The sequence below is a fragment of the Homo sapiens genome, chromosome 20 (genome assembly GCF_000001405.40).
Source record: "Homo sapiens chromosome 20, GRCh38.p14 Primary Assembly".
In the NCBI taxonomy this organism is placed as follows: domain Eukaryota; kingdom Metazoa; phylum Chordata; class Mammalia; order Primates; family Hominidae; genus Homo; species Homo sapiens.
The window spans coordinates 18,421,653-18,438,904 of record NC_000020.11 but is presented as its reverse complement, the minus strand read 5'-3'; the positions used below and the strand labels follow the sequence as shown (position 1 = coordinate 18,438,904).

The window sequence follows — 17,252 nt, the reverse complement described above, 5'->3', positions numbered from 1 at the left end:
AACCCCTTATGAATGGGATTAGTGCCCTTATAAGAGAGGCTCAAAGGAGCTTGTTTGCCTTCCACCATATGAAGACACAGAAGGTACCATCTGTGAAGCAGAGGGCAAGCCCTCACCTGATACTGAATTCGCTGGCATCCTGATCTTGGACTTCTCAGGCTCCAAAACTCTGAGAAATAAATTTGTGTTGTTTACAAGCCACCCACTTTATGGTGTTTTGTTATCACAGCCTGAACAGACTAATACAGTCATATACACTTATAATTGTTCTATCTTCCTGACTATTGACCTTCTTATCATCCCCAAATGTCTCTCTTTGTCTATGCTAATATTTCTTAAAGTCCTTTATTCTCTGATATTTATGTAGCTACTCTAGCTCTTTTATGGTTACTGTTTGCATTGTAAGGCCTTTTCTGTGCTTTTACTTTCAATCTATTTGTGTCTTTGAATTTAAGGTGTGTTTCTAGTAGACAGCATGTAGTTGGATCTTGCTTTTTTATCCATTCTGAATAACCTTGCCTTTTGAATGTGATATTTAGTCAATTCCTATTTAATGTCATTATTGATGTGGTTAAATTTACATATGCCATTTTGCTATTTGCTATTTGTATCATGGCTTTTTTGTTACTTTTTCCCTCGTTTACTGCTTTCTTTTGTGTTATTTCTTTTTTTTTTTTTTTTTTTTTGAGACAGAGTCTCACTCTGTCACCCAGGCTGGAGTGCAGTGACATGATCTCAGCTCACTGCAAGCTCCGCCTCCCAGGTTCACGCCATTCTCCTGCCTCAGCCTCCCGAGTAGCTGGGACTAGAAGCACCTGCCACCATGCCTGGCCAATTTTTTTGTATTTTTAGTAGAGACGGGGTTTCACCATGTTAGCCAGGATGGTCTCGATCTCCTGACCTCATGATCCGCCCGCCTCGGCCTCCCAAAGTGCTGGGATTACAGGCGTGAGCCACCGCACCCGGCCTTTTGTGTTATTTCTTTTGTGTTACTTTTAGTGTGCCATTTTAATGCTTCTGTTGACTTTTTTATTATTTTTAAAGTTATCTTAAGCTCTAGAGATTACAATATGGACCTCAATTTATCACATTCTATTTTATTTAATTTTGATTTTTAATTTTTGTGGATACATAGTTGGTGTATATATTTATGGGTACATGAGATGTTTTGATACAGGCATGTAATATATAATAACCACATCATGGAAGATGGGGTATATCACAGTCCATTTTAGAGTAATTTAACTCAATTCTACTGAAATATAGAAATTTCACTCCTTTCCTCTTTCTTTTTCTTTTCTTTTCTTTTTTTTCTTTTCTTTGAGACAGAGTCTCCCTCTGTCATCCAGGCTGGAGTGAGCGCAGTGGCACAATCTCGGCTCACTGCAACCTCTGCCTCCTGGGTTCAAGTGATTCTCCTGTCTTAGCCTCCTGAGTTGCTGGGATTACAGGTGTGCACCACCATGCCCAGCTAATTTTTGTATTTTTCATAGAGATAGGGCTTCACCATATTGGCCAGGCTGGTCTTGAACTCCTGACCTCAAGTGATCCGCCTGCCTTGGCCTCCCAAAGTGCTGGAATTACAAGTGTGAGCCATCGCACCCGGCCCCTTTCTTTCTTTTTCTTAACATTGCTTAAGTATCGTCCTCCTTTCTTTATCTTTTATGTAATAACCATAAATATTGCTTCTATATATGTTATAAACTGAAAAATGCGGTGTTATACAATCTTATGTCATTTAAAGAAGATGAGATAAAAGTTCTATGGAGTCATTTGTATCTGCCCTCATATTTATTATATCTGGTCTTCTCACTTCCTCCTGTGAACTCAAGTGATCATCTAGTGTCATTTCCTTTCAGCCTGAAGAACTTCCTTCAGTTTTTCTTGTAAGGCATGCCTGATAGCCATTTCTCTCTGTCTTTGTGTACGTCAGAATGTTTATTTTGCCTTCATTTTTGAAGGATGGTTTGCTGCAGATGTAATTCTGGTTTAGCAATTATTTTCTCTTTCAGCTCTTTGAATTTGTCATTCTACTGCCTTTTGCCCTCCATTGTTTTTGATGCGTGGTTTTTTCTCTTGCTACTTTCAGTATTTTCTCTTTGTCTTTGACCTTCAACAGTCTGATTATAATGTGTTTAAGTGTGGGTCTCTTTGTGTTTGTCTTTCTTGGGATTGACTGAGCTTATTGGATGTGCTGAGTATTGGTTTTCCTCCAGTGTGGGAAATATTGGCCATTGTTTCTTCCATTCTTTTTCTGTTCCTTTCTCTCTTTCCCTTACTTGTTGCTGTGCTTGATTTTGCCCCATACGTTTTTGATGTTCTGCTTATTTTCTTCAGTCTTTTTTCTCTGTTCTTCAGATTAGATAATTTCTGTTGAGCTATTTGTTCAAGTTCACTGATTCTTTCTTCTGTTATGCGATCTGCTGTTGAGTCGCTCTGGTGATTTTTTTTTTTTTTTTTTGAGATGGAGTCTCGCTCTGTCCCCCAGGCTGGAGTGCAGTGGTACGATCTCGGCTCACTGCAAGCTCCGCCTCCCGGGTTCACGCCATTCTCCTGCCTCAGCCTCCCAAGTAGCTGGGACTACAGGCGCCCGCCTCTGGCGATTTTTAGAATTTCAGTTACTTTACTTTTCAACTCCAGGCTTTGACTGAATTCTTTTTTTAAAAAAATAATTTCTGTCTCTCTATTGTGCTTCCCTACCAGTCAGATCATTGTCATCATACTTTAATTTTTATCAAATGTGGTTTCCTTTAGTTCTTTGAACATTTTTTAAAAATAGCTGCTTTGAAATCTTTGTCTACTAAATCCAGCATGTAAAGGCACTCAGAGATAATTTCTGTGGACTATTGACTATTTTTCCTCTGAGTGTAGGTCACTTTATTTTTTGCATGTCTCATAAGTTTTTTCTTGACTGCGTCAGGTAGTATATTCTAGCAACTCTGGATTCTGACTTTTTTCCCCGAGGGTTGTTGTTTTGTGTTTTGTTTACTTGGATTAAATCTTTAATGTCTGCCTCCCCTGCAAGGCATGGCCACTAGTGTCAGGCTTTTTATTTTTTTTAAATTTTTTTTCTTAATTAGAGAAGTAAAGAAACAAAAGAATGGTTACTCCATAGACAGAGAAGCAGCTTTTTTTTTTTTTAATTATACTTTTAAGTTCTGGGATACATGTGCAGAACATGCAGGTTTGTTACATAGGTGTACATGTGCCATGGTGGTTTGCTGCACCCATCAACCCATCATCTAGGTTTTAAGCCCCACATGCATTAGGTATTTGTCCTAATGCTTTTCCTCCTCTTGCCCCCCACCCCCGACAGACCCCGGTGTGTGATGTTCCTCTCCCTGTGTCCATGTGTTCTCATTGTTCAACTCCCACTTATGAGTGAAAACATGCAGTGTTTGGTTTTCTGTTCCTGTGTTAGTTTGCTGAGAACGATGGCTTCCAGCTTCATCCATGTCCCTGCAAAGGACATGAACTCGTTCTTTTTTGTGGCTGCACAGTATTCCATGGTGCATATGTGCCACATTTTCTTTATCCAGTCTATCATTGATGGGCATTTGGGTTGGTTCCAAGACTTTGCTGTCGTAAATAGTAGAGCAGCAGCTTTTCCTTTCTCTTATATTTAAGCCTGATGTTTACCTTTGGGTCAGCATATCTTAGTGTTCAGTTGGCCAGAGATTGTACACAGGCAGCTCCATCCAGGAAAGCCTCCACTCCCTGCTGATGGATCTGTGTGTTGGCTGGGTAACATTGAAACTCAAGGCTGTTTTCCAGCCCCAGCTTTTACTCTATGCCGAGCTCTCTTGCAGTTCTCTATGTGTAGTTCCCATCAGCCAGGGCGGTGTGGGTGGCTTGGGCCTACTCTGGTTTATGTTGCTTATGTGCATAGCCTCCTGTCAACTAAGGCTATGTGGAGAGCTATCAAGCCCCTATCATTGAATTACCTCCTGGAACTCCATGTTAAATCCTTGGCCAGTTTGCCAGTCAGTGCATCGATTACCCCAAACAGGCTCATTATCTCAGACTAGGGGACCACTGGTCTTCCTTGTTTGCTTGCCACCAAAATCGTCACCTTAACAGTGCTCTAAATCAAGTGATCCTTGCCCATCAGCAGCCACAAAACTTCTGGTTTTCACAGCCTGCCCTGCCCTGGTGGAACTACCACACTGACAGAGTTAGAGAAGGAGGGGGCAGCCCAGGCAACAACCACCCAGAGCTTAGTGTTCTTTTCTGCAGTTCAGTCATTTTTAGGAACTTCTGTTTGTTATCTGCCTTTCAATGACTTCAGGGTGCTGAAGTGGTTGCTTTTTGACAGCAGTATCTGACTGTGTGATTCCTTTTTTTTTTTTTTTTTTTTTTGAGCAGGAGTCTCGCTCTTGTCACCCAGGCTGGAGTGCAGTGAGGCGATCTCGGCTCACTACAACCTCTGCCTCCTGGCTTCAAGTGATTCTCTTGCCTCAGCCTCCCAAGTAGCTGGGATTATAGGCGCCCGCCACTACGCCCAGCTAATTTTTGTATTTTTAGTAGAGCTGGGGTTTCACTATGTTGACCAGGCTGGTCTCAAACTCCTGACCTTAGATGATCCACCCACCTCGGCCTCCCAAAGTGTTGGGGTTACAGGCATGAGCCACCGCACCCAGCCTGTGATTCATTTTTGGGGAAGAGGATTTATAGACCTCCTCATTCCATCATGCTACAATTTCCTATGGATATTTTTCTTTTTTTTTTTAACATCTCTCTTTTCTACAATGAACATGTTTTTACTCTTAATAGGAATAAAATAATAAAAGTAATTGTTATTTTATTTTCTATTATTTACTTTTTAATTGACACATAGTAATTGTACATATTTATGGGGTACATAGTGTTATTTGATACAAATAATGTGTAGTGGTCAAATCAGAGTAATTAGCATATCCATCATAAAGGTAATTATTTAAAAAATTGTTTTACAAAAACAAATCAAACTTTACATTCTTCCACCAAGTACTAACCAAGCCCGACCTGCCTAGGTTTTGAGATCAGATGAGATCGGGAATGTTCAGGGTGGTACGGCTGTAGACCAAACCTTACATTCTAAGATCTATTCATACCTTCAGTTTTTATGTGCAAGATAAACCAGACCTTTTCCTTGTGCAGATGGGCTTGTGTGCAGAATGCAGAAGCTTGGTACCCATGAACACTCCCATCTGTGTGGTGTGTGAGGCCCCTCTTGCTCTACAGCTGCAGCCACAGGCAAGCCTCCACTTGAAGGTAATGAAATGTGATTCTGTAAAAACATGAATGAAATACATAGTAATGTTTGAACAGGTATATGTCCTTTTTCAGCTAGTGGGATGGGGTAACAATTTTTTTTTTTTTTTGAGACAGAATCTTGTTCTGTCACACAGGCTGGAGTGCAGTAGCGCAATCTCAGCTCACTGCAACCTCCGCCTCCTCAGTTCAAGTGATTCTCCTGCCTCAGCCTCCTGAGTAGCTGGAACTACAGGCGTGCACCACCACGCATGGCTAATTTTTATATTTTTAGTAGACATGGGGTTTCATCATCTTGGCCAGGCTGGTCTCAAACTCCTGACCTCAGGTGATGCGCCCACCTCAGCCTCCCAAAGTGCTGGATTACAGGCATAAGCCACCATGCCCGCCAGGATGGGGTAACAATTGATAAGCTAATATACATGAACAAAATCCATTCTATTTTTAGTAAGGTATGCTGTCCAAGAGTTTAATTTGCCAATAGGATCTATAATATTAAGAGAGATATGTAGGATTGTATTCCCTGAACATGGATTTGGAGGGCAAATTGCACTACAGCTAACAAAGACAATTTTTTACTTCATATATTTAAACTCCAACATTGCAGTTAGTGTTGATTTATAATTTTGTCCTTAAAGTGGCTCATACTTTTGTTTGCCTTATTTGATTATAGGTTCTTGTTATGGAGAAAAAGAATGACTAGAACTAGTCACATGGAAGAAAAAGTTATGTATCATCACTTACATCCAAAAAACTTTGCTCAAAAAATGATATCATACTGTGAACATTTTTTTGATAGAATCTTTAAACATACAACTAAATATTTTCTCCATTCTTCAATTTACAGTCCCATTTACTTCCTCTTTAATCCCAAGTAAAGGTCACTAGAGGATAAAATAGATTTAATAGAGGGAATTTGGGGGATTAAAAAACTAAGAATTTTTAGCAATAAGGGAAATGCATGGCATTATGTACAGGCCATAACACTCCTAAAATGGCCTTGTGGGTTGTATATGGGCAAAATGTATTCAGAGAAAAGATAAATCCACTTTTTCTTTCACCTTCAAGCTCCCTTTAGCATGAAGAGTTCACAAGTGTACAAGGCTGTGTGAGCCTTCAGAAATGAGATTTTGAATAACTGGCCAGGCCAAAGTCAGGTAGAGGAAAATTTACTAATCTTTTTGTTCAATGACTATTTTCAATCTTAAGATGCTTAAAAAGCCACTGCAGGAAGCCACTATACAGTCCTGGAAGTCTTTCTCCAGACTTCTTATATATGGGAGAGAGAAATCTATTTTTCTCTTATTTAAGCCTGTGTTATTTTGGGTGTTCTGTCAAGCACAGCAAATCTATTCTTATTAATACATTTATTCAGGATGTTTGAAGATAATATCACTGCAAACTCTTTGGACTATTCAGAACAGGAAGAATAGGGGTAAGTGTTAGTTGTGACCCAAACTCAATATATATAATATCATCTTCAGTATTTGAAATCTAGAGTTCTTCCCATTTTATGGGAAGGCAGAGAGACACAAAGGTACATGTAAGTAATTTTTCCCTTCAATTTGTTGTAAATCCTATATTGAGAATAAACACAGGACTTCTACAGTGATAAGCAGCATTAAATCCAGGAATGGCCTCTTTCTTGCAGGGCAATTTTTATAAGAGACATTTTTATGACATAATAAGTTATAATAGGAATAATTTGATAACTTATTTCTACTCCATAGGTGAGACAAAGTTAGAACATATAATGAGGAAATCAATAATGAATTCAAAGATGAGATTTAGAAAATGTGCCTCAAAACTTTGCAAGGAGTTTGGTTTTGCTGGGCTGCAACAATGCTGGGGTGCTGTGGGTTATAGGAGATGGCACCTTCTCTACCAGACTTTGTAGCTCAGATTTTTCCCTGTGGGCCCTGAAGGTTGAAAGTGGGGACAGGTTTTAACCAGACTTGATTTGTAGAGAGATTTTTATCATCATAACCTCTGATGCTGGAGAGAAGTGTGTGACTTTTTATGCCAGACAATCACTATTACTGCTTCTACTCACAGAAGGACATCTGTTTGGAAACCCTGGCCTGACAATCTTCATTCCAGTGCCTCTCCCAGATGTCATAAGGGTGACAGGTTTTGAGATAACATTCTCACCCAGACAGCCACCTCTGAAGTTGGTGGGAATACTCATGTGAACTGCTCAGGGAAGTCAGCAAGTCTTACCTCCCGGCAGGCGGCAGCATGCCATTGACAGCTCCCGTCCCCTTTCTGCGTTGGTCTCTAGCTCACTCCACTGAGTGCAAAAGCACCATCTGCGCTCTTCCTTCTATGATGAAGACAGATTCCATGGTAGTTGCAGTCTTGTGTGGATTTAAGGCACTGTTAATGCTGAGGAATTTTGCTCTATCAGATTTTTTTTTTTTTCTGCCGGGATTAGAAGATACAGTAGCAGAAGTTTCTGTATTTGACCTTTGGCAAAGATACCTATTTCAGAATAAGAGAAGATTTTACAACTTATTTATTTAAAATAATTAATACCTAATTTTTTGTAACAAATGAAATAATCCAAAGATATACCAAAAAGTGTATAATTTCTTCACTCTACCTCCATTTCTATTTCTCTGAAATAACCAACGTTAGCAGCTTAGAGTGTCCTTTTATGTATTTTTCTAGATTCACAGAAACATATTTATGTATATTCATACATTTAGATTTGGTTTGGTTTGGTTTTTTAAACAAAATGAAATCATGTTATATACTTTTCCTCGCAACTTAATTGTTTCACTTAACAAATGCATCTATTGGTCATTTCTTTTTTTATTTTTATTATTAATTTTTTTTGAGACAGGATCTCACTCTGTCGCCTAGGCTGGAGTGCAGTGGCACGATCATGGCTCATTGCAGCCTGAACTCCCGGGATCAAGTGATCCTCCTACCTCAGGCCCCCAAGTAGCTGAGACCACAGGCATATGCCACCACGCCAGGCTAATTTTTCTATTTTTTGTAGAGATGGGGTTTCACCTTGTTGCCCAGGCTGGTCTGGAACTCCTGAGCTCACATGATCCTCCCACCTTGGCCTCCCAAGGTTCTGGGATTACAGGCGTGGGCCACCGCACCTGGCCTCCATTGGCCGTTTTCTAAAGTTGAAAACTAATTTTAGCATCCCTGTTCACCAGAAGATGTTAACTAAAAACATTTATCAAGAAGAGCTACTACAGTTTCCTTTGGGATTTTACGAGCAACATGCAATATACCTCCAGGACTTCAGTCATGTTTATGGTTCTTAGAATTTATGAGGCTTAGGTCTGAAATACTCCTGAAAAGATCTGATAATTCCTGTGCCTGAGTCACAGGTGCCTTCAGTGAGTCCCAGCCTCTCACACCGTGATTTGGGGTTAAGGCCAGTGTAACCATAACTCCACCTCAAGCAGAACTTTATCTTAGTCAGTTTTGAGATTAAGTTTGCAATGACCTACTAGTTTGTTTTCAATATTCTTCCTTTTTAATTGTGTCACTTAAAGCTTATCACTTGGGAGTTTGAAAATTGTTCTCCTCTTCCAACTATTTTAAAAGGAAAAGTTTTATCCCAGTGACTAAGTGGCTCTGTTAAATAGCTTAGAATCATTCAACTATTCAGTATGTTGCAAAGGCTGTGGATGAAATAGCAAATGAGGATATTGACTTTTTAAAAGTTCTCATCATAGGTGTTTGCCATCCCCATTAAGGCCATCTGATGGTAGCCTCAATTCCAAATCACCGCCACAGACATCTGTGAATTTATGAGTATAGTGGATTGTGATATAAAATGATTTCTAACTGTGGGTCGTGGTCACTGCTCTAGAAAGAAGTGAGCCATGGCATGGTGTCAAAAGTCTCCACAAATAAAAACATAGAAAAACCTGTCAACCAAGAAAACTACGTTTAATAGACCTGACGCAGTAAAGTAGACCATCACTTAGACAAGTTCATAGTAGTATCTCAGAAGAAGGAGGGCAGGGAAAGGTATTTAAACGGAGTGAGTGCTGGACCCTAATGTAAACCATGGGCTGCGGGTGATAATGATGTGTCAGTGATGTTCATTGGTTGTGACAAATGTACCACTTGGGTGTGGGATGTCCATAGTGTGGGGGAGGCCGTGTCTGTGGCGTGGGACAGGGTATACGAGAATCTTCTGTAATTTCCACTCAATTTTGCTGTGAACCTTAAACTGCTCTAAAAATAAAGTTTAAAGTTTATTAATTAAAATTTAAAAAAACAGGGTTTTGTAAGGCAGGGCAGGGATTGGGCAGAGTATGCACTGGGCAAAGTTATGAGAAGCAGTTTTGGATTATGAGCCCTGCAAGGTGAGGTCTTGAAGGAAGCCGTTGGACTTGAGAAGTAAGCAATTTTAGTTGTTCTCCAGTTTTCTCTTCCTAGAGGAAGTATTTTCTGTAGCATACAGAAAGATTACTTTTATTTGATCTCAGTATTTTTTAACATGGAGACAGGAAATTTGTCTCATTTCTCAATGGGTTTCACCAGATCTTTTCTGAGGCAACATTTTCAGGAAAGTCACAGCCCTAAATCTCATAGATAAATGCTGGCCAATTGCTGATTATGCTGTGGCAACTTTAAGTAACTTTGAAGAATGTTGGCCCCCAGGGAGTGTCAGGAACCATTGAGAGCAAGAGTGTGATTCTTTGCCATTTTTAATAGCAGTCAGTTGGCCTCTGCCCTTTAGGAGTTGTTTAGATTGGCAACTGTGGTGCGTTGGCTCAGTGCCTAGGAAGACTTTGGAATCTTCCACTAAAATGGAGTTAACCAGACTTTAAAAGGCTGAGACTCCATAGAGCTACCTGGTGGTAGTGGAAATAAAACCCTGGGAGCTGGGCTTTGTTTTTCTTGATCATCCACTTTACCTGTATCAGCTTCTGAACACACTGTTTGATATATTAGTTTCAGGACATCTAGGGACCGCAGTGCTGGACTAGAAAGGAACACTTGAGCACCACTGGTCATTATCAATGGAAAAAGATTGTATCCTGAGAGAATAGTGGTCAGTAACTAAACGTGTTAGAAAACCTCTGATAGCTGAACTCCAGACTATTTTTACCATCATTTCTTTGTCTGTTGTTTTTCTCTGTATTGCAGTGTAACCCCAGGGTCCTGGCTTAGAAAGTTGTACTTACGGCCGGGCACGGTGGCTCACGCCTGTAATCCCAGCACTTTGGGAGCCTGAGGTGGGCAGATCACGAGGCCAGGAGTTTGAGACCAGCCTGACCCATATGGCGAAACCTCATCTCTACTAAAAATACAAAAATTAGCCAGGCGTAGTGGCATGCGCCTCTAGTCCCAGCTACTCGGGAGGCTGAGGCAGAAGAATCACTTGAACCCGGGAGGCAGAGGTTGCAGTGAGCTGAGATCTCGCCACTGCACGCCAGCCTGGGTGACAGAAGGAGATTCCGTCTCAAAAAAAAGAAAAAAATTAAGTTGTACTTACCACTCTCTTTCTTTTTTTTTTTTTTGAGACGGAGTCTTGCTCTGTCACCCAGGCTGGTGTGCAGTGGCGCGGTCTCAGCTCACTGCAAGCTCCGCCTCCCGGGTTCACACCATTCTCCTGCCTCAGCCTCCCCAGCAGCTGGGACTACAGGCGCCCACCACCACACTCGGCTAATTTTTTTGTATTTTTAGTAGAGACGGGGTTTCACCGTGTTAGCCAGGATGGTCTCAATCTCCTGACCTTGTGATCCGCCTGCCTCAGCCTCCCAAAGTGCTGGGATTACAGGCATGAGCCACTGCACCCAGCCACTACTCTCTTTCTTTGGCAGTCTTTTCACTTCTTCTATTTCTAAGTAAAAACTACAGAGCAAACCTAAATTCATATTTAACATGAAGCCCCAGAGGGTAAACCCAAGTCCAAGAACCAGATTACTTGTAAACACACAGATAATCCCTTGCTGGTCTAGGGTCTTTCTGTTTACTGTTTAAGCCATGAAATGGAACGTCTACTCAGTGTCACGGTTTTCACACTGGAGAAACACACACACACACACACACACACACACACACCCAACCTTACACATAACCAGTGCAGAATTTCCAACTTACCTTTTGAAAACCAAACGAATACTTTTTTCAGTGTGTTTGTTTGTTTGTTTGTGGTTTTGTTTCTTTTAAAACTACATTCAGGCTGGGCATGGTGGCTCACACCTATAATTCCAGCACTTTAGGGGGCTGAAGTGGGAGGATCACTTGAGGCCAGGAGCTGGACACCAGACTGGGCAACACAGTCGGATCCCATCTCTACAAAAACAAATGGAAAAAAAAAAACCCAAAAAAACCTACAGATATTTGTCTGACACTATTTACAGTAACTCCTAAACCAATCCAGTATTCAGGGCCTGGGTGCAGTAATAGGGCCTGTAGCTGAATGACTGACAGAAAAGACTGGTTGATGATTTCTTTGCACAGTTGTTTGCTCAGAGGAACATGTATGTCTTATTTTTTGTTGTTAAGGAGAAGGTAATTTGCCGGGCCTGTGGTACAGGAAATCCTGCTCACCTGAGATACTGTGTCACCTGTGAGGGGGCCCTGCCTTCATCACAAGAGGTAGGTTGATTGCATGTGCCAATCCTATATTTAGTGGCTACTATGTCAATGTTAATGATAATAGAGAAACAGAATCTGCCGAGGGGGTTGGGGAGAGAGACCAAAAAAAGCTTCTCATGGTAAACTGAAAGCAAGATTTCCATATGTGGGGAGAACTTTATATCAATACAAATTGTTTTCAAAGTCTTAACTTCAAGAGGATTCAGTAAAATCAATAATTTCTTATGATTTTGTTTAATAACTTTGCATGGGAGGCTGGCATTAGCCTGTGGGGAAGTGAACTCATTCACATTTCATTTACAGACAGGTATGTCTTTGTCATCCCCTCCACCTTCCCACACCCCATAGTCCATTGTCTTCGTTGACTCTGTATGCACACTGCTTTTTGAAATTGAGAACATTGTAGCCACCTATTTCTTGGGTTTCCTGCCAGCCTATTTTGAATGTTGAAGGGAAGAAATACGAGTATATGCACTTTAAATACGGTGATGATCTATTTTATGTTTATAAAACGTTTCTGATGAAAATTAAAATTACTTCCAGGTGACTCTTGCTTTGTACCGGAAGAAGCTGGCACTTACTAGCCAACTTGCTTCTTTTGGGTTGCTGTGCATGTTTCCGATTGTTTGTGAGGTTTGTTCTCATCTCGGACAGATTCCTCATGAAACTGGACAATGTGGTTATTATGGTCTACAGCAGCGGTCCCCAACCTTTTTGGCACCAGGGACCAGTTTTGTAGAAGACAATTTTTCCACGGACCTGGTTGGGGGATGGATTCAGGATGAAACTGCTCCTCCTCAGATCATCAGTCATGAGTTAGATTCTTATAAGGAACGCGCAACCTAGATCCCTCGCATGCACAGTTCACAATAGGGTTTGCACTCCTATGAGAATCGAATGCTGCCGCTGATCTGATAGGAGGCGGAGCACTCACCTCCTGCTGTGTGGCCTGGTTCCTAACAAGCCACAGATAAGTACAGTCCATGGCCCGGGGGTTGGGGACCCCTGGTCTACCGGTATCAAATGGGTGTGTACTAGTTTCCTAAGCACCATCAACTAGGTGGCTAACAACGACAGAAATCTATTGTCTTACAGCTCTGGAGACTAGAAGTCTAAAATCAAGGTGTTGGCAGGGCCACACTCCCTCTGAAGGTGCTAGGGAATGAACAGTTTCATCTTCTCTCCCAGCTTCTGGTAGCCTCAAACTTCCCTTGGCTTCTAGATGCAGCACTCCAGTCTCTGCCTTTGCCATCCCGTGGAGCTCTCCCTCTGTGTCTGCCTGTGTGTGTATGCCACTGTGTCCAGATTTCCCTTTTTCATAAGGACACCAGTCACACTGGATTAGGGCCCACCCTAATGACCACATTTTAACTTGATTACCTCTGTACAGACCTTTTTCCAAATAAGGTCCCATTCTGAGGTACTGAGAGTTAGGACTTCAACTTATCTTTTTCTGGGCAGACAGAATTCAACCTATAGCAGTGGAGTTGGACAAGATACCTTTTTTTTTTTTTTTGAGATGGAGTCTCACTCTGTCACCCAGGCTGGGGTGCAGTGGTGCAGTCTCGGCTCACTGCAACCTCCGCCTCCCTGGTTCAAGCGATTCTCCTGCCTCAGCCTCCTGAGTAGCTGGGATTACAGGCACATGCCATCACGCCTGGCTAATTTTTGTATTTTTAGTAGAAACGGGGTTTCACCATGTTGGCCAGGCTAGTCTCAAACGCCTGACCTCGTGATCCGCCCAACTCGGCCCCACAAAGTGCTGGGATTACAGGCTTGAGCCACTGCGCCCTCTGACAAGATACCTTTTAATGTCGTCTAATCACGGACAGTCTAAGAGTAGTTGATTTGAGGGAACTCCTTTTGTTTCCAGCTTTATTGAGATATGATTTATATGCAGTAAAATTCACCTATTTTAATTGTACAGTTTGATGAATGTTGGTAATTATATATAGCCATTTTAACTACCACCACAATGAAGATATTTAACAGTTCTATTTACCCTGAAAAGTTTTCTCATTCTTCTTTCTAGTTGAGCCACTTCCCTGGTCACCAGACCCAAAAAATACAGATCTGTTTTGACACTATGATTTTGTCTTTTATGGAAGTATGTAGTTTTTTGTGAGTGCTTCATTTCCTTCACTTAGCAGAATGTTTTTGAGGTTCGTTCATGTTGTTGCATGTATTGATTTTTTTTTTCATTTTGATTGTTGAGTACTATTCCTCAGTATGGATCTACTGGTTGATTCATCCACAGGTACTCATGCTGTTTCCAGTGCCGGCACACTATGAATAATGCTGCATTACATGCAAATCTCTGTGTGGGCATAGTTTTCATTTTTCTTAGGTAAATACCTAGGAGTAGGATTGCTGGGTCCTATTTAAACGCATGTTTAATTTTATAAGATACTGCCCTATATGAAACTGGAACCTTCATATATTGCTGGTAGGAACAGAAGTGGTATACATTCATATATTGCTGGCATATCACTTGTGTTTCTACTAGCAATATATAAAGGTTCCAGTTTCTCTGCATCATCTCCAACACTTGATATCACCTGTCATTTTTTTCTTTTCTTTTCTTTTTTTTTTTTTTTGTTGTTGTTGTTATTGAGACGGAGTCTTGCTCTGTCGCCCAGGCTGGAGTGCAGTGGCACAATCTTGGGTCACTGCAACCTCCACCTTCTGGGTTCAAGCCATTCTCCTGCCTCAGCCTCCCAAGTAGCTGGGACTACAGGTGCCTGCCACCATGCTTGACTAATTTTTTTGTTGTATTTTTAGTAGAGATGGGGTTTCACCATATTGGCCAGGCTGGTTTTGAACAACTGACCTCAGGTGATCCACCCGCCTTGGCCTCCCAAAGTGCTGGGATTACAGGCATGAGCCACCGCGCCCGGCCGGTATCACCAATCATTTTAATCATGATATTCCCTTTTTACCATTTTAATGTATGTAGGATCTATTCCCCTCTTTCATGCCTGATATTTGTAATATGTGTGTTCTTTCTTTATCATTCCTTCTCTCTCTGTCTGGCTTGTAAATTTTATTGATCTTTTCAAGATCTAGCTAGATCTTTTCAAAGAACTAGCTTCTGGTTAATTCATTTGCTCTATTTTTTTGAATCCTATTTTTTTTATTTTGCTCTTTATTTATTCTCTTTTCTTTGGGTTTAATCTGATTTTCTTTTTCTAATTTTTAAGATGAGAACTCAAATTATTCATTTCAAATTTTTCTTATTTTCTAACACAAACTATAAATTTCTAAGAACTTCTTTGGCAGCATCCTATGTATTTTCATTATAATTCAGTTTAAAACATTTTCTCATTTATCAGTGATTTCTTCTTTGACCTATGACTTATTTATTTGATTCCAAAACATATGCACTTTCTCTACTTATCTTACTCTTATTGAGGTCAAATTTAATTCCATTAATGGTCAGAGAGCACACTCTGTATAATTTCAGTTATTTTAAATTAATGAGGTTTATTTTATGGCCCAGCATCTAACTTGGAAAACATATCAGGTGCATTTGAAAAGAATGTGTGTTCTGTCATTGTTGCGTATTCTATAAATATCAATTAAATCAATGTGGAATGTTGCACAGATATTATATATCTTTGCTTATTTTTGTCTAGTTTTTCTAGCAAATAATGAAAACGGGGTATTGGAAAGCTCCAACTATAGGAAGTGAAAGACTTGTACATTAAAAACTATAAAACATTGATGAAGGAAATTGAAGAACACACAAATATAGTAATGCATCACTTAATGACAGGGAAACATTCTGAGAAATGCATTGTTAGGTTGTTTCATTGTTGTGTTAGCATCATGGCATGTACAGTACTTTCACAAACCTAGATGGTATAGCCTACTGCATACCTAGGCTATCTGGTATAGCCTATTGCTCCTAGGTTGCAAACTTTACTCAGTGTTCTAGGCACTTGTAATACAAATCACAAGGTGATAGAGGTTTTTGGCTTCTATAAAATATGATGGGGCCCACTGTCATATGTGGAGTTCATCATTGACCAAAATATCATTATGTCGTGCATGACTATAAATGGAAAGATATCCCATGTTCATGGACTGGAGGAATTAATATTGTTAAAAAGTCCATAATACCTAAAGAGAGATCTACAGATTGAATGCAATCCCTATCAAAATTTTGCTGACATTTTTCACAGAAATAGAAAAAAATCTTAAAATTTGTATGGAACCACAAAAGACCCTGAATAGCCAAATCAATTTTGAGAAAAAAAAAAAAAAAGAACAAAGCCAGAGACATCACACTTCCTGAGCTACTATAAAGCTATACAGGCTGAGTATCACTTATCTGAAATAGTTGGGACCAGAAGTATTTGGATTTTAGGTTTTCTGGACTTTGGAATATTTATGTATTTATAATGAGATATCTTGATGATGGGACCCAAGTCTAAACATGAAATTCTTTATGTTTCTTATACACGTTATACAAATGGCCTGAAGGTAATTTTATATAATATTTTAAATAACATAGTGCATGAAACAAAGTTTTGACTGCATTTCAACTGTGACCCATCACATAGGTCAGTTTGGATTTAGGACCATTTTAGATTTTAGATTTTCAGATTAGAGATATTCAGCATATAGTAATCAGAACAGCATGGTACTAGCATAAAAACAGGCATGTAGACCAATGGACAAGAATAGAGAGCCCAGAAATAAATTCATGCATCTACCATCAATTGATTTTCAACAAAAGTGCCAAGAACACACAATGGGGAAAGGATAGTCTCTTCAATAAGTGGTTTGGGAAAAACTGGATATTTACATGCAGAAGCATGAAATTAGATCCTTATCTCACACCATATACTAAAATCAACACAAAATGGATTAAACTGAAAAACTTCTATTGGAAAACATAGGGAAAAAGCTTATGACATTAGTCTGGGCAATGATTTTTTTCGGATATGACCCCCAAAGCACCGGCAACAAAAGCAAAAAATAGACAAACAGAATTACATCAAACTAAAAAGCTTCTGCACAGCAAAGGAAACAATGAACACAGTTAAGAGACAACCTACAGAATGGAAGAAAATATGTTCAAACCATACATCTGATAAGGGATTAATATCCAGTACATATAAGGAACTCAAACAACTCAATAGTAAGTAAACAAATAATGCCATTAAAAATGGGCAAAGGGAGCAGTCCTGCATGGCTTCTGCTAGCAGAAGCTGCATGGTAGGGCAAACTGCTGTGCTCTGGGGCCAGATGATGCTCCAGGGTGGATGAGGCACCTGCAAATCCAGCTGAGCATTGCAAGCCACCCAGGGAGAGATTTTTTCAAAAGCCTATGGGACATACCATTATTCCTGGATGCCTAGTACATTTAAGATGCCTGACAGCATGAAAAGTACTTGGAATAAGTGCAG

The 17,252-nt window shown here is 40.2% G+C and overlaps 1 protein-coding gene and 1 pseudogene across 32 annotated transcripts in view; one reads left to right on the top strand and one right to left on the bottom strand.

Moving 5' to 3' along the window:
* DZANK1 (double zinc ribbon and ankyrin repeat domains 1) overlaps positions 1-17,252 on the top strand; it is an 83,664-nt gene that overhangs the window by 28,126 nt on the left and 38,286 nt on the right. For 30 of the 32 annotated variants that reach the window (XR_007067462.1, NR_160274.1, NR_160273.1 and 27 more), the window contains 2 exons: positions 5,140-5,253; positions 11,746-11,838. Coding sequence is in view for 28 of the 32 variants with exons in the window: in NM_001367617.1 (NP_001354546.1) it covers positions 5,140-5,253; positions 11,746-11,838 (207 nt within the window). In the remaining 4 variants the exon portion in view is untranslated. Of the gene's footprint in view, positions 1-5,139; positions 5,254-5,975; positions 10,286-11,745; positions 11,839-12,381; positions 15,444-17,252 lie in introns of those variants that run through there. The other 2 variants (XM_047440253.1, XM_011529277.3) reach the window with 2 other exon arrangements.
* Positions 4,961-5,063, bottom strand: RNA5SP476 (RNA, 5S ribosomal pseudogene 476; annotated as a pseudogene).